General features: G+C 52.5%; 1 protein-coding gene across 5 annotated transcripts in view, besides 8 other annotated features; it reads right to left on the bottom strand.

The window, feature by feature from the left end:
- The window catches only part of BCAR1 (BCAR1 scaffold protein, Cas family member), a 39,827-nt gene extending 35,147 nt beyond the window's left edge, over nucleotides 1-4,680 (bottom strand). For 2 of the 5 annotated variants that reach the window (NM_001170718.3, NM_001170720.3), the window contains exon 1: nucleotides 2,498-2,680. In NM_001170718.3, the coding sequence (NP_001164189.1) occupies nucleotides 2,498-2,509 (12 nt within the window). In that variant the 5' untranslated portion in view covers nucleotides 2,510-2,680. Of the gene's footprint in view, nucleotides 1-1,023; nucleotides 1,275-2,497; nucleotides 2,681-3,386; nucleotides 3,579-4,587 lie in introns of those variants that run through there. The other 3 variants (NM_001170714.3, NM_001170715.3, NM_001170716.3) reach the window with 3 other exon arrangements.
- Nucleotides 68-865: an enhancer, noted in NCBI's record as "H3K4me1 hESC enhancer chr16:75297293-75298090 (GRCh37/hg19 assembly coordinates)". NCBI's record gives its function as "activates a minimal SCP1, AML or CMV promoter by ChIP-STARR-seq in naive H9 embryonic stem cells {active_cell/tissue: H9 hESC(naive)}" and the evidence as "EXISTENCE:reporter gene assay evidence [ECO:0000049][PMID:30033119]".
- Nucleotides 866-1,663: an enhancer, noted in NCBI's record as "H3K4me1 hESC enhancer chr16:75298091-75298888 (GRCh37/hg19 assembly coordinates)". NCBI's record gives its function as "activates a minimal SCP1, AML or CMV promoter by ChIP-STARR-seq in naive H9 embryonic stem cells {active_cell/tissue: H9 hESC(naive)}" and the evidence as "EXISTENCE:reporter gene assay evidence [ECO:0000049][PMID:30033119]".
- Nucleotides 2,010-2,099: a silencer, noted in NCBI's record as "silent region_7714". NCBI's record gives its function as "represses an Ori minimal core promoter by ATAC-STARR-seq in GM12878 lymphoblastoid cells {active_cell/tissue: GM12878}" and the evidence as "EXISTENCE:reporter gene assay evidence [ECO:0000049][PMID:35858748]".
- Nucleotides 2,110-2,199: a silencer, noted in NCBI's record as "silent region_7715". NCBI's record gives its function as "represses an Ori minimal core promoter by ATAC-STARR-seq in GM12878 lymphoblastoid cells {active_cell/tissue: GM12878}" and the evidence as "EXISTENCE:reporter gene assay evidence [ECO:0000049][PMID:35858748]".
- Nucleotides 2,450-2,519: a silencer, noted in NCBI's record as "silent region_7716". NCBI's record gives its function as "represses an Ori minimal core promoter by ATAC-STARR-seq in GM12878 lymphoblastoid cells {active_cell/tissue: GM12878}" and the evidence as "EXISTENCE:reporter gene assay evidence [ECO:0000049][PMID:35858748]".
- Nucleotides 2,590-2,709: a silencer, noted in NCBI's record as "silent region_7717". NCBI's record gives its function as "represses an Ori minimal core promoter by ATAC-STARR-seq in GM12878 lymphoblastoid cells {active_cell/tissue: GM12878}" and the evidence as "EXISTENCE:reporter gene assay evidence [ECO:0000049][PMID:35858748]".
- Nucleotides 2,890-2,949: a silencer, noted in NCBI's record as "silent region_7718". NCBI's record gives its function as "represses an Ori minimal core promoter by ATAC-STARR-seq in GM12878 lymphoblastoid cells {active_cell/tissue: GM12878}" and the evidence as "EXISTENCE:reporter gene assay evidence [ECO:0000049][PMID:35858748]".
- Nucleotides 8,748-9,286: an enhancer, noted in NCBI's record as "H3K4me1 hESC enhancer chr16:75305973-75306511 (GRCh37/hg19 assembly coordinates)". NCBI's record gives its function as "activates a minimal SCP1, AML or CMV promoter by ChIP-STARR-seq in primed H9 embryonic stem cells {active_cell/tissue: H9 hESC(primed)}" and the evidence as "EXISTENCE:reporter gene assay evidence [ECO:0000049][PMID:30033119]".

The following is a 21,321-nucleotide window of genomic DNA, read 5'->3' on the forward strand; positions in this document are numbered from 1 at the left end:
GGTGGCACATTTCCTTCCAAATGTGTCCTCTCAGCTGCAGGAAGAGTCAGGCCCAGAGCGCTGGGCGAGAGGAAGGCATGGGAATACCCACAGGGTGTCCAGGCAGCACACGAGCACTGCACTGCTCTATGCCTGGAGCAGAGGAAGGGGCACTGAGCAGGTAGCAGGGACGCCCTGGCTCCTTCCCCTCTCTGGGTCCGGGACTGCATGTGAGTCAAATGACAAGGTGACACCAGCTGATCCCCGGCATCTCCCCTCCCCCAACACTCAGGGGGTCGCTACCCGCACAACCAGCCCACCAATCTCTCACCCTGCTTCCCCTCCCATCCCCTTCTGAAGCATCTTATAATTTCTGTGGGCCAAAGTGCCTGCTGCGTCAGCCCATCTAGGAAAAGACTGCCCAAATGGATGGGTGTGCTTAAAACCCAGACGTGTCCCTGAGCAGTCGCCACTCTGGGTTCCAAGGGCAGGGCTTGAGCAGGCAGCTCAGTCTGGAAGCCTCCGCAGGGCCTCCTCAGCACATGAAAGCAATTTTCCGAACACTTCAAGACTGTTCCAAAAATGAATTCTCCTCTTGGCCCCACCACCTCACACACTGCCCAAGGTCCCAGGAGAGAGAGCCACGGTGATCTGCCAGCCAGCCACGTAGGGGGCAGATGGCAAAGACCTCTGCCCACCCCCAGCAGAATTCTCCTGGGCTGTGACTACAAGGGAGAGGGTAGGAGATGACTCAGAGCCCGTGATGGTGTGGCCAGGCTGCAGGTCCCCACGACAGTGCCTATCTGTCCAAGTCCTACCCAGCCCGCTGTTCCTCTCTTGTTACAGATGAGGCACAGTGCCAAAGAAGGCTGCCCAAAGTCCTGTAAGGCAAGGGGTCAGGGTGCCATCCCAGACTCCATGCCCAGAGCTTGGCTCTGACTGTGGACAACCAAACCAAATCAAACGGGGACCTCCCCATAGAGGCCCGCCCAGGCTGGGATGTGGCCAGAGTGACATTCCCTAATCACTACTGCCCTGGGATACCGGCCCTCCAGCAGGCTCAGGTGGTCCGCCTTGTCCCTCTGCCCAGTGCCCACAGGAGCAGGGCTGGCCAGTCCCCTGAGGCCCTGGGCCAGAGAAGTCCAGAACTTTCCAGGAGAGCAGAACAGAAGAGAGGAAGGGCTTGGCAGGCATGTTCTGTCTTCCTTCTTTCTGAAGACGAGACGATTATGCTCTGAACCAGAACGGATGGCGGGGCTCACATCAGCACAGTCTGGAAGCCCTCATTTTTTCATCTGTAAATACATTACCACTTCTGGAGGCGAGCAGGAGCGGGCTCTTTAATTCCACAATAACAATGCTTTGCACTTGGCCAGCTTCCCTCTGGTCATCTGCACTCACTCTGGGATAGTTAATGAAGAGGCCACTTGCCAGAAAGCCCCCACTGCCTGCTTCACGGAAAGGATGGGGTCCTCCGGGTGAGGAGCAGTTCCAGAAACAAGGCCAGAGTGGACAGGGCTCTGGAGGGAAAAGCCCCTAACTAGGCAGGGAAACGATGGCTGGAGGCCACAGCTCGCCAGGTGCAGATGGTGTCCCTTCCTGGCAGGACGCCGGGGTGTCCGCCTCCCACCTCCCACTTCAGTCTGTCCATCTGTCATGTGGGGCCTGCACCTGAGGCCTGGTTACCCGGGGTAGCCAGGATCACTTGCTGTTCTCAGGAGGTGAGACTGAGATGCTCAGAGATGCCAGTGCCCAAGTGTGGAAACATGGCCCGGGGGTCTGCCGAAGCCAGGCTGCCCGGCCAGGAAGAGGGGGTGTCGGACAGAAAACTCCCTACGGCCAGCGGGGAGGAAGCGGCCAGTCAGGGCCCCGGGGGTTCCGCAGCGAGAGGAAAACTTCCCAGGAAAGTGAGCCCATCCGCCGTGGAGGGCAGGCACGGCTCCCATCCAGCCAAGCCGTCCTGGGGGAGGGGTGGCTCCGGCGACTGGCAGAGACCGCGCCCCAACCTGGCCACCCCGGGGGAGTCCCGGGAGCGCCGCAGGGCAGCAATCCGAGGGAGGTCTTGCGGGACAGCACAGGCCTCCCACCCCCTCATCCGGCCCAGCAGTCCCGGAGGGGAGTCGCGGGAGCGGCAGAGACCCCTCCCCGCTAGGCCTAGCCGTCCTGGTGCGGGGTCCTGGCGGGCAACAGACTCCTGCCTGGCCCAGCTGTCCCAGGGGTTTCCCGGGGACCAACAAAGAGTCTTCCCGACCTAGCCATCTTGGGGGGCTCCCCGAGGGGACAGTACGGACCCCAGCCCGATCCAGCTCTCCTGAAAGAGGATGGAAAGGCGGGGGCAGAGAGGCCGGCTTGGGGGAGCCTCCCCCAGCCGGTGCGCTCTCCCCCGGGGCCGAGGAGGCCCCAGTGAGGCGACCCCCAGTCCGGGAGCCAACGCGGCATCAGGCCCGCAGCGGGCGGGGCGAGGTCGCAGCCGGGCGGGGGACAGCCGGCCCGGGGTCCCGGGCGGCGCGGTACTCACAGGCACGGACATCTTGGCCGCCGCCCCCGGGGCCTGGCGGGCAGCGGCGCCAGCGGGCTGGGGGCTCGGGTCCGCCCGCGCCGCTCAGAGGCCCCGCGAGGGGTCCCGGCGCTTTCCGGCTCCTCCGGCTCCTGAGCGTTCCCGGACGCCGGACTGTCCGGCCGCTCCAGCCGCGCCGCGCATGCGCCGCCCGCGCCGCCCCCCCCACCGTCTCCGCGGCCAGGGACGCGTTAAAGGTGAGGACCCCGGACCTAGGCCTTTTTCTGTCGGCCCAACGCGGCGGGGAGGCGCGGTCTCCTCCGCTCCTCGCCGATCCCTCGCGGGCCACCTCCAGTCGCACCAGCTCTGGGTCGCCCAACCAGTCCCCTCCCCCAACACTACACTGCCCTGTGGCCCTGGCCGGGCTCCTAGGCCCTGTGTCCGGGCGCAGACCGGGAGGGCTCGGCCGGCGGAAGGTGATCGCGGGGCAGCATAGCAGGCCTCCCGGAGCCCCTCTGCCCTCCCCCAGCTGAGAGCGAGCCCCGAGACCCCCAGGGAAGAGGAGCTCCCCACCCCGGAAACAGTCTAGCTCATCCTGGGGTCGCCCTGACAGTGACATCTGACCTGGCTTCTAGGGAGGATCCTGTGTCCCTGTAACCCCCACTCCTGGGCCCACCCTCAGCCCACCGTCCTCCCAGAGGCTGGAAGACGAGCCTTCGTGGGCCTGAGACTTCCTTTCCCCAGGCTAAACACCCCCAATTTCAGCTGTTTCGCATCTACCATGGTGCCCACACATGGCACCTGCAGCCACTGGGCACGTGCATGTTCGTCCCCATCGCTCCACTCCTGCCAGGCAGGCCTTGCTGATGCCCCGTTACATTTCATAGGCCCAGGCACTGAGATCCCTCACCCACTCAAAGGAAGGACCAGGGGTCCGACCCCTCTGTTCTGCTTCCTGGGGACGGTGGGTGAGCATCTAGAGCAAGTGGGGCTGGGGTCCAGAGCACTGTCCCGGAGGTCAGCGCTGCCCACCCCAGGGAGGAAAGACGGAGCCAGCTCCATGAGGCTGGTTTGCCGCAGCCCGGGCTCATGGCGGGGACCTGGGGGCAGAAAGCTCCAGCTGCCTAGGGAATCTCTGTGTGGGTGCCCATGTGGGGGGCGGGCCCTTCTGCCTGCCAGGGATGCTGTGCCAGGAGGCCACGGTGGCTGGATGGAGGAAGCAGAGCCAGGCAGCAGGCTGACTTCCCCCAGCTCCCAAAAGCCCCCAGTAGCAGGTCACCGACTGGGTTTTCAGCCTTTTTCCCCAAGGGGCGTGCAGCCTTGATCTTTTCTCCAGGAGTGTCCCGGTGAGGATCCCAAGAGGCCAGCAGCAATGAGGGGGTATGAGGTATGAGAGAAAGAGGGAAATCCAGGCCTCCCACGAGAGACCCAAGTCCCTGTTCTGGCAGTGATGAGGGGTCCTTCCCTGCTCCAGTAGAGTATGGTTGCCCCTTCACCTCTTGAGTGGGGTTCCCAACTGTGCACATCAGCGTCCGCAGCCCAGTGCTCAGCAAGGCATTGTTGGAGGGGCCAAGCAGGGCCACAGCAAGCCGGGGGGGGGGTGGGGGGCCTGGACCGACAGCTGCCACCTCCTCAAAGGGCGCTCTGTGCATGTCTGGCACGTGGCCCTGCCCGTGCCCACCCGCCCGCATCCAGCTGGCACAGGGGCTCCTGAGCTGGGAGCAGCAGCTCTGCCTGGCGCCCGGGCTCCTGGCCACACGCCCTGCTGTCTCTGATGCCCCCACCCACCACCACCCTGGCCCTCTCCTTTGCTCCTCGCCCAGACCCCACCTCCCTCCCTTGCTCCTGCTTGGGGCCCACTGTTCCTGTCTCCTTTCCCATCTCCCCCATATCTAGGTGCCCCAGCCAGAATGGGGCGGGCGGTGGAGAAAGATCCCTTCTACCTGCCTGGGCACAGGGAAAGGAGAGCCCAAGGGAGGGGCGCAGATGGAGCTGGACCCTCCAATCCATCTCATCCTGCCTCTTACCGCCCCAGGGGCTGCTTATTTAGGGCATCAGTAACTCAGCCCTTAGCAGGGAGAGAGGGGACCCTGGCTAGAGCCCTCACTTACTCTGAGGCAGGGATCCTTGGGTGTGGGCCTGGGGGCAGCCAGAGGAGCCTCACCAGGGCAGTGCATGCCCTCTCCTGACACTACCAGGTGTCTGTGAAGGCGGCGGCTGCTCCTCCCTCACCCACTCCTGGCAGGCAAATGATCCCAGGATGACTCACTCCGTCCTATAGGGAACAGCCTCTGGGGCTTCAAGGCTGGCAGTTCCAACCAGAAGCAACAGCTGGGCTGCCAGAGCAGGTGCCAGCGCCCTGAGAGGGTCCTTGAGAGCTAAGCGAGGCCCTCACACCGGGACTATTTTTGTCCCTGGCCTCTGGAGGGAAAGGAATTTGGACCTGGCCATGGAGTAAATCTGTGCAGAGACAAGCTTCACAACCAGCTCTCCTGACATCCAAGCTGGCCTCTGTCCCCAGGGCCTTGCCATGTCTAGAGGGGCTGAGGGCTGGGAAGTGGCTCCTTATCTCCCTGTACCCCCCTTCAGGTGACCAGGGACTTCTCTGGCAAAGGAGCTCCTGCCCTGGGAGAGTGCAATGATTACCCGGCACTAGTAATAATCTCCCGTCAGGTGGGGCGCAGTGGCTCATGCCTGTAATCCCAGCACTTTGGGAGGCCAAGGTGGGCAGATCACCTGAGGTCAGGCATTCAAGACCAGCCCGACCAACATGGTGGTGAAACTCCATCTCTACTAAAAATACAAAAATTAGCTGGGCGTGGTGGTGCACACCTGTAATCCCAGCTGTTTGGGAGGCTGAGGCCAGAGAATCACTTGAACTCGGGAGGCGGAGGTTGCAGTGAGCCAAGATCGCACCACTGCACTCCAGCCTGGGCGACAGAAGGAGACTCCATCTCAAAAAAAAAAAAAAAAAAAAAAAAAAAAACAACTCAGCATGGAACATGTGGCATTAGTAATGAACCAATACTGATACATCTTTGTTAACTGAAGTCCACACTTGATTCAGATTTCTCTTTTTTTTCTTTTTTTGACAGACTTTCGCTCTTCTTGCCCAGGCTGGACCGCAGTGGCACGATCTTGGCTCACTGCAACCTCTGCCTCCCGGGTTCAAGCGATTCTCCTGCCTCAGCCTCCCAAGTAGCTGAGATTTCAGGGGTATGCCACCATGCCCAGCTAATTTTTTTTTTTTTGAGATGGAGTCTCCCTCTGTTTCCCAGGGTGGAGTGCAGTGGCTCCATCTCTGCTCACTGCAACCTCTGCCTCCCGGGTTCAAGCGATTCTCCTGCCTCAGCCTCCTGAGTAGCTGGGATTACAGGCGCGCGCCACCATGCCTGGCTAATTTTTTTTTTTTTTTTTTTTTTTTTGTATTTTTAGTAGAGATGGGGTTTCAGCATGTTGCTTAGGCTGGTCTCAAACTCCTGACCTCATGACACGCCTGCCTCAGCCTCCCAAAGTGCTGGGATTACAGGGGTAAGCCACCGCACCGGGCCAATTTTTTTCTTGTATTTTTAGTAGAGATGCGGTTTCACCATGTTGGTCAGGCTGGTCTTGAACTACTGACCTCAAGTGATCCACCTGCCTCAGCCTCCCAAAGTGCTGGGATTACGGGCGTGAGCCACTGCGCCTGGCCAAAGATTTCTCCAGTTTTTACCTAACGTCCTTTTTCTGTTCTGGGATTCCAACCAAGATTCCACCGTCTCCTTGGGTTCCTCTGGGCTGTGACAGTTTCTCAGACTTTGTTTTTGATGACCTTGACAGTTTTGAGGTGTGCGGGAAACATTTACAGAATGAAATAAAACATTTATAGATGTCCCTCAATTAGGATTTGTCTGACGTTTTTCTTACGATTAGACTGGGTTGTGGGTTTTGGGGAGGAAGACCCCAGAGGTCAAGTGCCATTTTCATCCCATCATATTGGGGTGCATACTGACAACATGAAGTATGATCACTGTTGAGGCTCACCCTGACCACCTGGCTGAGGGAGTGTTTGTCAGGGTTCTCCACTGTAAGGCGACTCTTTTTCCCCCTGCTTTCTGTAGGGTACTTCCTGGAAGGAAGTCCCTGTGTGCCATCCACAGCCAAGGAGGAGGGAGTTCCTATGCTCCACCTCCTGAGGGTGGACTCTATGGAGATGATTTGGAATTCTTCTGGATGAGAGATTGCCTGTTCTCCCTCATTTATTTATTTATTCAATAATTTATTTATATCAGTATGGACTTATGGATTTTTATTTTATTTTATTTTATTTTATTTTATTTTATTTTATTTTATTTTATTTTTTTGAGACAGAGCCTCAGTCTGTCACCCAGGCTGGAGTGCAGTGGTGCGAGCTTGGCTCACTGCAACCTCTGACACCTGGGTTCAAGTGATTCTCCTGCCTCATCCTCCCGAGTAGCTGGGATTACAGGCACCTGCTATCACGCCCGGGTAATTTTTGTATTTTTAGTAGAGATGGGGTTTCACCATGTTGGCCAGGCTGGTCTTGAACTCCTGACCTCGTGATCCACCCACCTCGGCCTTCCAAAGTGCTGAGATTACAGGCATGAGTCACCCCGCCCAGCCTATTTTTATTTTTTTGAGACAGGGTCTAACTCTTGTCTCCCAAGCTGGAGCACAGTGGTGCCATCACAGCTCACTGCAGCCTCCACCTCCTGGGCTCAAGTGATCCTCCCACCCCAGCCTCCCAAGTAGCTGAAACTACAGGCGTGTATCACCACCCTCCGCTAGTTTTTGTATTTTTTTTTTCTTTTTTTGGTAGAGATGGAGTTTCACCATTTTGCCCAGGCTGGTCTCAAACTCCTGAGCTCAAGTGATCCTCCCTCCTCAGGCTTCCCAAAGTGCTAGGATTAAAGGCATGTGCCACTGCACCAGTGCACTTGTGCAATTTTTTTTTTTTTTTTTTTTTTTTTTTTTTTTTTTTTTGAGACAGAGTCTGGCTCTGTCGCCCAGGCTGGAGTGCAGTGGCGCGATCTCGGCTCACTGCAAGCTCCGCCTCCCGGGTTCACGCCATTCTCCTGTCTCAGCCTCCCGAGTAACTGGGACTACAGGCGCCTGCCACCACTCCTGGCTAATTTTTTGTGTTTTTAGTAGAGACGGGGTTTCACCTTGTTAGCCAGGATGGCCTCAATCTCCTGACCTCATGATCCGCCCGTCTCGGCCTCCCAAAGTGCTGGGATTACAGGCATGAGCCACCGCGCCCCGCCCAGTTTTTTGTTTTTACAGTAAACATACTTTTAAAATTGTGATAAAATATACATAACACAGAATTTACCATTTTCACCATTTTTAAGTGTACAATTCCATGGCATTAAGTACATTCACAATGTTGTGCAACCATCACTGTCCATTTCCAGACATTTTCATCTCTTAAACAGAAATGCTGTAGTCATTAAATGATAACTCTCTGCTTCCAGGCCCCTCAGTTCCTGGTAAACCCCATTCTACTTCTGTCTCTATAAATTTGCTTATTCTCTGTACCTTGGATAAGTGCAATCATATATTATTTGTCTTTTTGTGTCTGGCTAATTTAACTTAACATCATGTTTTCAAGTGTAATTTTTTTAAAGAACAATTTTTGTTTTTTTGTTCTTTTTGGAGACATGGTCTCACTCTGTCACCCAGGTTGGAAGGCAGTGGTGTCATAGCACACTGCAACCTCAACTCCGATGAGCTCAAGCAATCCTCCCACCTCAGCCTCCCAAGTAGCTGGGATCCCAGGCACACACCCCTGGCTAATTTTGTTTTTTATTTTTTGTAGAGGCAGGGTCTCACTATGTTGCCCAGGCTGATCTCAAACTCCTGGGCTCAAGCAATCCTCCTGCCACGGCCTTCCAAAGTGCTGGGACTATAAGCCACCAAGCCGGCAAAGAATAATTTTTTTTTTTAAGGGAAAAATGCAATTGCCAAGTTTTAGGAACTGCAAGTGTCCTAGAAAGTTCCCATGGACCCTCTGGGGCCTGGTGCAAGGGTCTTTCCCAGGAGCTGACATGGGGGGAGGCCAGGGTCAGGGGTGCAGCTAGGCATCAAATGCAAATGTGGAGCCACACACAACAGTCTGTGCAGTCACCTCTCTCTTCCCCACAAGCAAGAGGCAGGGGGAAAGGGATTTTGCATGAAGGCCCATCTTTGGACAGCTGAGCTGGGGCAGACCCTCCAGCTCCCAGGACGCTGGCTGCCGGCCTCCTGTCTTCTAGGATGTTCGCAAACACCCAGAGACCAGAGCCCCTTCCAGGAACAGGCTCACATCCTCTGTCACTGTGACAAGTGGAATTTCACTCTTCGCTGGAAGCAATCCCCAGGGCATTGTGTTTCTGAACCCAGAGATGAAACTGCCCGCTGAATTGTATGCATTCTCTAAATTATTGAAGAGCCGAAAGAGCGGCTGCCACATTGGGGTCACCAGTGCGAGTCCCCAGAGCAGCAGTTTCATGTTCTCAGCAAGGCTTGAATGCCAGGCACCCCCGGCAGCTGCCCTGTGATGTTGCCTGAGGCCAAGGGTCCGCCCAGGGTTGGAGTGGGGGGTGGGGGGCACTAGGAAAATCTCGCTGTTACCCGAGAGTGAGACCGATCCTTGTGAAAACAGGAAGGAACTCACTGTGGGGAGTGAGGTCTGCAGTTTGGCAAGAACCCAGGCTCCTGTCGCCATTGACCTCCAGTGGCAGGGCAGGGCGGGGTGGGGCTGACCTGGGTTCTGGTCCTGCCGTGTGAGCTTCAGCATGATCTTCATAGTCTCTAAGCATGTTTCCTCTCCATGTGTAAAACAGGATCCATAAAGCAGTGAAGCCAGGCGTGGTGGGCTCGTGCCTGTAATCCCAACACTTTGGGAGGCTGAGATGGGCAGATCACCTGAGGTCAGGAGTTCAAGACCAGCTTGGCCAACATGGCGAAACCCCGTCTCTACTAAAAATACAAAAATTGGCCAGGTGTGGTGCTGTGCACCTGTAATCCCAGCTACTTGGGAGGCTGAGGCACGAGGATAGCTTGAACCCAGGAGGCGGAGGTTGCAGTGAGCCGAGATCGCACCATGCACTCCAGCCTGGGTGACAAAGCGAGACTCGGTAAGAAAGAAGGAAAGAAAGAAAGAGAGAAAGAGAGAGGGAGAGAGGAAGAGAGAGAGAGAGGGAGGGAGAGAGGGAGGGAGGAAGGAGAAAGCAGCCAATACCTCACATTGCGGGGAGTGGCCGCTCTATTTTGCTCTGTGAATGGTGCCCCTGGAGTTGTGCACCGCCATGGCCCTGATTGGGACACACGGCATCCACTTCCCGCAGCCCTGGAAGGACTCAGGTATAAGGTGTATGGGGCTGTCTCGGTACCTGGTATGCAGGAAGCTCTCAGTTAAACGCTGATGCTGTGGGGGTCGCGGTCTGACTCAGTCTCTCCAGCCTCACACCACCAGCCTGCATTTCTGCCTCTGGAGCTCCGCTATGGCAGCAGACAGCCCCGCTCCTCCGAAAGGATGCGCCTGTGTTTCTCCATGGAGCTGAACAGACGACAGACTAGTTAGGATGCTGGAGGTTGGCCCAAGTTCTGGTCTCTTGGATAACCTTGGGCAGGGCCTTTATACAAGGCCCTTGGGCTCAATGTTTGACAGGGGAATGTCTGGCAGAAGATTCCAGAGAGAGCTGTACATTTTCCAGATGACAGACCTCCTGAAGCAATGGAGCGATGCTCACTGAGGTCTTCCTGATCCGTCTGGGAAACATCTCTGTGAAAGTCAGGATAAAGCCCGGATATGCGGAGATCGACTCCGACCGACTCCGACAGAGTAGCCGGAGTTGTGGGGCCTTTCCTCCTGGCCTGCCAGGGATTGGCAGAGGCTTCCTGAAGGAGGTGGCCTTGGAACAGGAGTTTAAACGATGAGTCAGGGGCGACTCACCTCCCAGGGTCTACCTCAAAGTACATCAAGAATCTGGCTGCTTCTCCCCACTTCCATGTCTACACCCTGGTACAAGCCACCTCAAATCATGACAATGACCTCCAACTGGCCTTCCCACCTTCACCTGGGCCCCTAAAACTGCTTTTCTGCAGAGCCTTTAAGTAATTTCTTCTTCTTTTTTTTTCCTTGAGATGGAGTTTTGCTCTTGTTGCCCAGGCTAGAGTACAATGGCACAATCTTGACTCACCGCAACCTCCACCTTCCAGGTTCAAGCAATTCTACTGCCTCAGCCTCCTGAGTAGCAGGGATTACAGGCATGTGCCACCATGCCCAGCTAATTTTTATTTTTAGTAGAGATGGGGTTTCTCCATGTTGATCAGGCTGGTCTCGAACTCCCGACCTCAGGTGATCTGCCTGCCTCGGCCTCCCAAAGTGCTGGGATTACAGATGTGAGCCACCCTGCCCGGCCACCTTTAAGTAATTAAAAGAAAAATTATTAGGCCATGTCCCTTTCCTGCTGAAACTGTCCAATGTCTTCTTTGTCCACTCAGAACAAAACCCAGAGATCTACAAGGCCTGACATGTGTGTTTCTCAGCCCCAGGCTGCACACTAAAATCACTGGGGCATTTTAGACGCGTTCAGAGGTGTTCTGATTGAGTGGGACTGGAAGTAGGATTCAGCCATCAATTTCTTCTTCTTTTTTTTAAATACGCCCTTGCTCTATCACCCAGGCTGGAGTGCAGTGGTGTGATCATAGCTCACTGCAGCCTTGAACTCCTGTGCTGAAGTGATCCTTCCATCTCAGCCTCCTGAGTATCTGGGACTACATGTGTGTACCACTAAATCCGGCTAATTAAAAAAAATTTTTTTGTAGAGACAGGGTCTACTATGTTGTCAAGCTGGTCTCTAACTCCTGAGCTCAAGCAATCCTCCCACCTCAGCCTCCCTAAGTGCTGGGATTACAGGCATAAGCCACCACACACAGCTAGCCATCAATATTTTAAATAATAATAATAATATAGTTCCCTGGCTGGGTGCTTCTCATGTGCAGCCAGGGTTGCAAACTCCACTCTTCATGGCTTAGCCTTGCTAGGTTGAACCGTGCTGGCTTCAAGTTGGTGCCTTCCTGCCCCAGGGCCTTTGCACTGCTCTTCTGCCCTTGATACGGGCCCCCAGAGTCTCCTCTGATGCACCCCTTCCTTCCTTCCTTCCTTCAAGGTCTGCTCAAGGTTGCCTTCTCAGGATGCCTTCCCTGATTTACTTTTGGTCATAATGGAAATATTATCTTGTCATAGGTTGCTGTGAAGATTAAATGAGATAATCTAGGTAAAACATTTAGCACAGGGCTGGGTACATGGAAACCAACAAATGGGAGGAATTTTTATTTGTGGTATTTACCACTTCCTGATATTATATATTTACTTGTGTATTCAATAGCTGTCTATCTGCTCCTGTGAACTATAAACTCCGTGAGGGCTGAAATCATCTTGACAAATAGTAGGGGCTCAATGAATAACTTTCATTTTTATTTTTTACTTTTAGAGACAGGGTTTCACTCTTTCACTCAGGCTGGAATGCAGTGGTGTAGTTGTAGTTCACTGCAGCCTCGAGTTCCTGGCCTCAAGCAATCCTCCCGCCTTAGCCTCCCAAAGTGCTAGGATTATAGGCCTGAGCCAATGCACCTGGCCTCAAAAGCGGTAAAATAATCAATCATTCATTGTACAGGATTCCCACACCTGATTTAACCATTCTCTGCATGTGGGTGTTGCGGTTCTTTCCATTTTGGACCAAATAATGTACAAATAATGCTGAGATGAGTATACTTGTAAGCGGATCTTTCTCTGCAATCTGATTACTGTATTTTCTGATAATAAATTCCTGGACATTGAATTACTGGGTCAAAAGTACGAAATTTTTTAAAAGTAGCAATCCATTTAATAACATGTCTTTTGTATTCATAAGTAACAAAAAGGTCCTAAATTCTTCAAAATGTAAAACTAGAATACAAAGCAGGTGGATCACTTGAGGTCAGGAGTTAGAGACCAGCCTGTGCAACATGATAAAATCCCGTCTCTACAAAAAAATACCAAAAAAATTAGCTGGGTGTCAGGGCTGGGCGCGGTGGCTCACGCCTGTAATCCTAGCACTTTGGGAGGCCGAGGCGGGCAGATCACCTGAGGTCGGGAGTTTGAGATCAGCCTGACCAACATGGAGAAACCCTGTCTCTACTAAAAAAATACAAAATTAGCAGGGCGTGGTGGTGAATGCTTGTAATCCCAGCTACTCGGTAGGTTGATGCAGGAGAATTGCTTGAACCCGGGAAGCAGAGGTCGCGGTGAGCCAAGATTGCACTATTGCACTCCAGCCTGGGCAACAAGAGCGAAACTCCATCTCAAAAATAAAATAAATAAATGGATAAAATTAGCTGGGTGTCATGGTGCGTGCCTATATTCCCAGCTACTTTGGGGGCGGAGGCAGGAGGATCTCTTGAGCCTGACAGGTCGAGGCTACAGTGAGCTAAGATTGCACCACTGCACTCCAGCCTGGGTGACAAAGTGAGACCCTGTTTCAAACAAACAAAAAGCCTATAATACAATTCAGAGACATAGGTGGCAACTTCAATTTATTCTAATAGCAGGTTCTCTTTTTTTTGGGAAGTTAAAACACCTCTCTTGGAGAATCTTTCTTTCTTTTTTTTTTTTCTTGGGGGGCGGGGTGTGGGGACTGAGTTTCGCTCTTGTTGCCCAGGCTGGAGTGCAATGGTGTGATCTTGGCTCACCACAACCTCCGCCTCCCGGGTTCAAGCGATTCTCCTGCCTCAGCCTCCTGAGTAGCTGGGATTACAGGCATGCACCACCATGCTCGGCTAATTTTGTATTTTTAGTAGAGACAGGGTTTCTCCACATTGGTCAGGCTGGTCTCAAACTCCTGACCTCAGGTGATCCGCCCACCTCAGCCTCCCAAAGTGCTGGGATTACAGGCGTGAGCCACCACACCAGAGTCTCGCTCTGTTGCCCAGGCTGGAGTGCAGTGGTACGATCTCGGGTCACTGCAACCTTCGCCTCCCAGGTTCAAGCGATTCTCGTGCCTCAGCCTCCCGAGTAGCTGGGATTACAGGTGTGTGTCACCACACCTGGCTAATTTTTGTTTTTGGTAGAGACGGGGTTTCGTCCTGTTGCTCAGGCTAGTCTTGAACTCCAGGGCTCAAGTGATCCACCCGCCTCAGCATCTCAGAGTGCTGGTATTACAGGCATGAGCCACACCGTGCCTGGCCAAACCCCACTTCTTTTTTTTGAGACGGAGTTTTGCTCTGTCGCCCAGGCTGGAGTGCAGTGGCTCGATCTTGGCTCACCACAACCTCCGCCTCTCTGGTTTAAGTGATTCTCCTGCTTCAGCCTCTCGAGTAGCTGGGATTACAGGCACACCAAGCCACCACGCCTGGCGAATTTTTGTATTTTTAGTAGAGACGGGGTTTCACCATGTTGGTCAGGCTGGTCTCGAACTCTTGACCTTGTGATCCTCCTGCCTCAGCCTCCCAAAGTGTTGGGATTACAGGTGTGAGCCACCCAGCCTGGAAAACCCCCCTTTTTAATGGAACAGAACTCACTTACCCTGAGAGGTGAGAGGATAGAGGGATTCAGAAAGCACATTCACAGCAACTCACAGATGAATGTACCACAAGGCTGGGCTTGAGTGAATCTGGGTCCCTGGGGCAGCATATCTCTCCCCTGTCCAGATGCTGCCTTCAGAGACAGAGCCCTGGGCTGATATGGCAGAAGGTTCTGGAATTCAGGGACAATCTAGTTCCAGTCTGTTCCTTGGATGGCCATTCTCCTCCTAGTTCAGGTAGGTCTCTCCCAAAGCACCAGGCTCTCTGCTCAGACAGGCAGGGCTTCCTCGATGAGTCCTCTCCTCTCAGAGGGTTCACATAAGCAGAGAGGGGCACACCTGCCCTGTCCAAGTGAGAGAACTTTCTGGGAGGTAGCTGGGCATTCCATTTTGTGGCCTTGAAAATACGTGCCCTGCCCAACACAACAAACTCACTCATAGAAATAATCTAGAAAGAATCAGGGATGTGGATGGCCGGGCGGGGTGGCTCACGCCTGTAATCCCAGCACTTTGGGAGGCCAAGGCGGGCGGATCACGAGGTCAGGAGATCGAGACCATCCTGGCTAACATGGTGAAAACCCGTCTCCACTAAAAATACAAAAAATTAGCTGGGCGTGGTGGCGGGCACCTGTAGTCCCAGCTAGTCGGGAGGCTGAGGCAGGAGAATGGCGTGAACCCGGGAGGCGGAGCTTGCAGTGAGCAGAGATCGCGCCACTGCACTCCAGCCTGGGCGACAGAGCAAGACTTCATCTCAAAAAAAAGAGAATCAGGAATGTGGAAAATTATCAAAGGGCTAAAGCAGTGCACCACAGCATCATTCATAATCACAACAGTGGGTGACCTGAATGGCCAATGGTGGAAGATCGGTAAAATAAACCATGGCACAACCACAAATGGCATATGCTCTGCAGCCCTTAAAAACCGTGTGCTCGGCCAGGTGCAGTGGCTCACACCTGTAATTCTAGCACTTTGGGAGGGTGGATCACTTAAGGTCAGGAGTTCAAGACCAGCCTGGCCAACATGGCGAAACTCCGTCTCTACTAAAAATACAAAAATTAGCCAGGCGTGGTGGTGAATGCCTGTAATCCCAGCTACTCAGGAGGCTGAGGTGGGAGAATCGCTTGAACCTGGGAGGCAGAGGTTGCGGTGAGCCAAGATCATGCCACTGCACTCCAGCCTGGGCGACAGAGCAAGACCCTCCCTCAAAATAATAATAATAATAATGTACTCAAAGAATGTTGAGAATATTTAATAGGGAAATGCTCAGCGCGTAGCATTTGGTTAAAACTGCACACACCAGGGCAGGCTGATAGGACTGTGATGATGGAAATGTTCTGCACCTGCCTGGTCCCTTATTCCATAGACAATAACCATAGGCCACTAATGAACACATGAGGTCTTGGACTAGCACAACTGAAGAACTGAATTTTACATTTTAACAAATTTAACATTTAAAGAGCTGCAGGTGATAGTGACTTCTGTATTGAATTGCACAGGTACACTAAATCCCAAGTATGTTAAGAAAAGGTGTGGGTGGCTGGGCGTGGTGGCTCATGCCTGTAATCCTAGCACTTTGGGAGGCCAAGGCAGGCAGATCGCTTGAGACCAGAAGTTCAAGACAAGCCTGGGCAACATGGCAAAATCCCGTTTCTACAAAAAAAAAATACAAAAACTAGCCGGGCGTGGTGGTGCACACCTGTAGTCCCAGCTACTCAGGAAGGTGAGGCAGGAGAGTCGCTTGAGCCAAGGTCGAGGATGCAGTGAGCTATGATTGCAGCACTGCACTGCAGCCCAGGTGACAGACCCTGTCTCAAAAAACAAAAACAAAAACAAAAAAAGGTATGAAAAACACATTAAACACATAAAAAATGGCTGAAATAATATTCCAAAGTGTATACAGTAGTTTTCTCTGTTAGGAAGGTTATAGGAGATTTAAATTTTCTTTCATTTTTCTGCTGTCAAATTCTCAATGAATAGATTTCTTCTCCATCAGAACAGCAGAGGAATATCAGGAGGAGAGAGAAGGAGGGAAGAGGAGAGCCAGTAGAACTCAGGTTGGCAGGAAGAGCCCAGCGGGGCTGCCCTGGCTGAGCTGGCAGGAGCGGGAGCCGCGAGAATCCGCCTAGCTCAGGGCTTGTTTTGACAGGAGTGTGGTGCGTGGGGGCTGGGTCTCCAAGCGGCAGGGCAACCTAGCTGACACACTGCAAACTCGGCTTCGCTGGTGTGAGTGTGTGTGTGCACATGGGTCCTGCCATCTGTTGCCCACCTGGCAGGAAAGTGTTGTCTCTTCAGCTGTATTTGTTGGGTCTTCGGTGGATTTTGTTGTCTGAATTTCTCACTTGCTTCTCAGGCCTGACTTCAGCTGCTTCTCCAAGTTACCAACAACTTTTTTTTTTTATAAAAACATTTGAGACAGAGTCTCGCTGTGTTGCCCAGGTTGGAGTGCAGTGGGGCAATATTGGCTCGCTGCAACCTCCACCTCCTAGCTTAAGTGATCTTCCCACCTCAGCCTCCCAAGCAGCTAGGACTACAGGTGTGTGCCACCATGCCTGGCTAATTTTTTTTTTTTCTTTAGACAGGATTTCACTCCTGTCACCCAGGCTGGAGTGCAGTGGTGTGCTCTTGGCTCACTACAACTTCTGCCTCCCGGGCTCAAGCCATCCTTCTGCCTCAGCCTTCTGAGCAGCTGGGACTACAAGCACACACCACCACGCCTGGCTAATTTTTGTATTTTTAGTAGAGATGGAGTTTCACCATACTGGCCAGGCTGGTCTTGAACTCCTGACCTCAGATGATCCACTGGTCTCCCAAAGTGCTGGAATTACAGGCATGAGCCACTGCACCCGACCTAATTTTTGTATTTTTTTGTAGAGACAGGGTCTCACTATGTTGCTCAGGCTGGTCTCAAACTCCTAGACTCAAGTGCTCAGCCCACTTTGGTCTCCCAAAATGCTGGGATTACAGGCGTGAACCACTGTGCCCGGGCGCCGACCCCCACAACTTTTAGGAGACTTCAGCCAAGCTCTTTGAAAGTAGGAGGAAGTTCCTGCAGGTGAGTCTCGGCAGACATCGGGGATGGAACCTAGGCTGACTTATTCATTGTGGCTTTGCTGGTGCAGCAGTTTAGGAATTTCAGTTATTTGAAGTGGCAAGGATAAAGAAAGATGTAATTTTCCTAAATATATAGCTGGAGGCCTTTTAATTATTTTACTGCTAAGGAGGTCATAAGCACTGGTTCTCAAGCTTTGGAGTGCCGAAGAATCACCTGGCTGCTTGTTAGAAGTAGAGATTCCTAGTGTTAAGCCCCAGGGATAATTTAATCAACCCCCTCATTTTATAGACAGGCCAGGGGAGGCAGAGGGCCAAGCCATGTGCCCAAGGTCACCAGCTGGTCAGCAGCGCCGGGATTAGGATCTGGGCATCTGATGTGGGTGTCTTTCACTAATTGCCTTGCCTCTCAATTCGCTTGTGTCAGTTGTCTGCCTTAAAGGAAGAGTTAGACAAAAGTGGGCTGTGAGGTTTTTTTCCCACCACCAACCAATTCTCCATCACCAACTGGATGTCCGACAATTCAATTCTGACACTACCCAGAATTAGCATACACCCCACAGGTTAAGGACTTGGTCCCACAAGACTGCCCACACTTCTGACACCAGCTACAAATGGAGTGTCCAGGCTACTCATACTTCTGCCCAGCTGACTATAAATTTGGAGGTTCCCATGAACCCTTCTTCCTATTGGGTTTTTTGTTTTGTTTGAGACAGGGTCTTGCTCTATTGCCCAGGCTAGAGTGCAGTGGTACAATCTTGGCTCACTGCAACCTCCACCTCCTGGGCTCAAGCAATCCTCCCACCTCAGCCTCCTAAGTAGCTGGGACCAGACAGCTACCATGCTTAGCTAATTTTTAAGTTTTTTTGTAGAGACAGGGTCTCACTATATTGCCCAGACTGGTCTTGAACGCCTGGACTCAAGCTGATCCTCCTGCGTTGGCCTCCCAAAGTGCTGGGATTACAGACATGGGCCACTGTGCCCACACTCCTATCAAGTTTGATAATTTACTAGAATAACTCACAGACTCAGGAAAGTGCCGTACTCACCATTGCAGTTTATTATACAGGATGAGAATGAACAGCCAGATGAAGTATATAGGTGAGGTCTGGAAGGGTCCTGAGTGCAGTAGCCTCTGTCCCCATGGACTTGGGGGTGCAAGGGGGTTCGGGGTTTTTGTGAGGTTTCATTACATAGGTATGATAGATTAAATCACTAGTCTGTGGTGATTGAGCTCCATCTCTGGCCCCTCTCCCCACCCTGGAGGCTGGGAGGGGAGGGCTGAAATCATGTGGTTGGTTTTCTGGCACCCAGTCCCCATCCTGAAGCTATCGAGGGCTCCCCTATGATAAGCCATGGTCCCTCATTAGCACACAAGACAGTAAATTCCAAGGGTTTTAGGAGCTCTGTGCCAGAAACACAAAGCCAAATAATTAATTAATAGTTAATTAACTGAGACAGGATCTTGCTTTTGCACACCCAGGCTGGAGTGCAATGGCATGATCCCAGCTCACTCCAGCCTTGACCTGCCAGCCGATTCCCCTGCCTCAGCTGCCCGAGTAGCTGGAACCACAGGCACGCGACACTACGCCCGGCCAATTTTTTGATTTTTTAGAGATGGGATCTTGGTATGTTGCCCAGGCTGGTCTTGAACTCCTGGGCTAGAATGATCCTCCTGCCTCAGGCTCCCAAAGTGCTGGGATTACAGGGGTGAGTCATATTTTTTTATTATAACACATGGGATATTTGCAATTTTTTTTGGAAAATACTACTGCATCACAAAGACAAAATAAGCCTTTATAATGATAATGCTTATTCTGGTTGTCTCTAGCTCAGTTGTCTATAGGCGGCTCAAGGGCACACATCGGACCCTGTTGGTACAGGAGGGCTGGGATGTGGGGCGAATGGTGACTGGGAGATGGGCAGCTTTTCCTTCTCATGACTCAGGACCCTGAACCTCAAATTCAAGGATCCAATAATGGAACTCAATGGCAGAGTGGTAACAAAATTGTGAGCCTGCTAGAGACAACCTGACAGGGTGTCTGATACAGAGAGGGTTCAGCCTGCTGCAGACAGTGCCCCTCGGCACCCAATGAGCTTAAAAAATGTGTTCCATTTGTCAGTTGGGGTGCCTCGAACTCTGGCAGGCCCAGGTTATCATGCAAATGTGTTCAGTGGAAGAAGGCATGAAATCATTCTCAGAGATGAATGGGGCTGCTCAGCGGACCTGGGAGAGGAGGGCTCTGCCCAGTAAGACTCCTGCACATCCTCAGGAGATCTGGCCACACCTCCCACTGAGAGAAGGCACTCACAGGAGGTTCAAGGCACAGCCTGGGCCTAAGGGCCCAGGGACAACTCAGGACACCGGGCAGTTTGAAGACAGGCAGCCCCATAACTTCTGCCAGAAAATCCAGACATTGAGTGTAATTCGTTTTGGTGTCTTTACATTTCAAGCTCATTTATCCAGGTCAGGAACCATTTAGTTTGCATCTAACAAGTCGAGGCCTGTGCAGCATCCTTCTAACATATGGCCTGTTCATCCTGCCTCTGAGCATCTGTCACAGCCATGTTTTGGGAGGAGGCTGACTCGGCCAGTTTCGCATCGTCAGCTGGCAGGGGCAATCCCACTGTGCAGCTGCTTGAAGAGGGGCACATGGCCTGGCCCAGTCCCCTTGGCTTCCCCGGCCCCCCAAAACCTGCTTTTTAGAGAAAGAAAGGGGGGCACCTGGCAGGCCACTTGTGAGTCACTCATCTCCTGGGAAATGTTCCAGGCGCCACTTGGAGGAGATCACTCTGGAAAGCTCCCTGATGCCCAGCAAGCCCATCACCATGGCAACCTATCCATCCTGAGCTGCTCTTCCCTTGGGCCTCCAGAAAGGAGGCTGACTGAGGTGATGCAAGTTTCTCTGAGGTGAGGCTCATCTCTCATCGAACCAAAGCTATCTTGAAAGATTTCAGATAAATAGATATAATGAATAATATAAGAAATACCTGTGCCGCGGGCGAGCATGGTGGCTAATGCCTGTAATCCCAGCACTTTGGGAGGCCGAGGCGGGCGGATCACTTGAGGTCGGAAGTTCGAGATCAGCCTGACTAACATGGAGAAACCCTGTCTCTACTAAAAATACAAAAAATTAGCCGGCCGTGGTAGCCCATGCCTGTAATCCCAGCTACTCAGGAGGCTGAGGCAGGAGAATCGCTTGAACCCGGGAGGCGGAGGTTGTGGTGAGATGTTATCGTGCCATTGCACTCCAGCCTGGGCAACAAGAGCAAAACTCCATCTCAAAAAGAAAAAAAAAATTGTATCGCTACCTCCCAATTTAAGATATAAAACCACAGCTGTAAATAAAGCTCCTTTTTTGTTTAACAGAGGGTCTGGCTCTGTTGCCCAGGCTGGAGGGCAGTGGTGTGATCTCAGCTCACTGCAACCTCCGCCTCCTGGACTCAGGCCATCCTCCCACCTCAGCCTCCCCAGTAGCTGGGACTACACGCACACACCACCATGCTTAGCTAATTTTTTTTTTTTTTTTTTTTTTGTAGAGATGGGGTTTCGCTATGTTACCCAGCCTGGTCTCAAACTCCTGAGCTCAAGGGATCCTCCTGCCTCAGCCTCCAAAAGTGCTGGAATTACAGGCATGAGCCACCACACCTGGCCCAGAGCTCCTTTTTTTAGGGTGGGGGACAGGGTCTTGCTCTGTTGCCCAGGCTGGAGTACAGTGGTGTGATCTTGGCTCACTGCAACCTCTACCTTCTGGGCTCAAGCCATCCTCCCACTTCACCCTCCTTTTGTACCTGGGACTACAGGTGTGCACCACCATGCCCAGCTCATTTCTTTTTCTATTTTTTGTAGAGACGGAGTTTCACTATGTTGCCCAGGCTGGTTCTGAACTCCTGAGCTCAAGGGATCCTCTTGCCTCGGCCTCCCAAAAGTGCTGGGATTACAAGCGTGAGCCATGCGCCTGGCCCAAAGCTCTTTTTTGATCTCTTATCATATGGCCTTCCTTACCCCACAAGAGGCTTCCTCTATGCTGAGCTTAAGGTTTATCACTATATATATATATATATATATATATATATATATATATATATATATATATATATGCACGTTCTGAACCACAGAACATAAAACCATTTTAAAGTGTACTGAATTATACATCACAAGGGTGGGCAACCAATACCTCTATATTTACATGTTTTAAAATCTGTACACCTGGGATTGTATGGCAGGTCTTTTGCAATTTGATTTTTGCA

The sequence above is a fragment of the Homo sapiens genome, chromosome 16 (genome assembly GCF_000001405.40).
Source record: "Homo sapiens chromosome 16, GRCh38.p14 Primary Assembly".
Classification (NCBI taxonomy): Eukaryota; Metazoa; Chordata; class Mammalia; order Primates; family Hominidae; genus Homo; species Homo sapiens.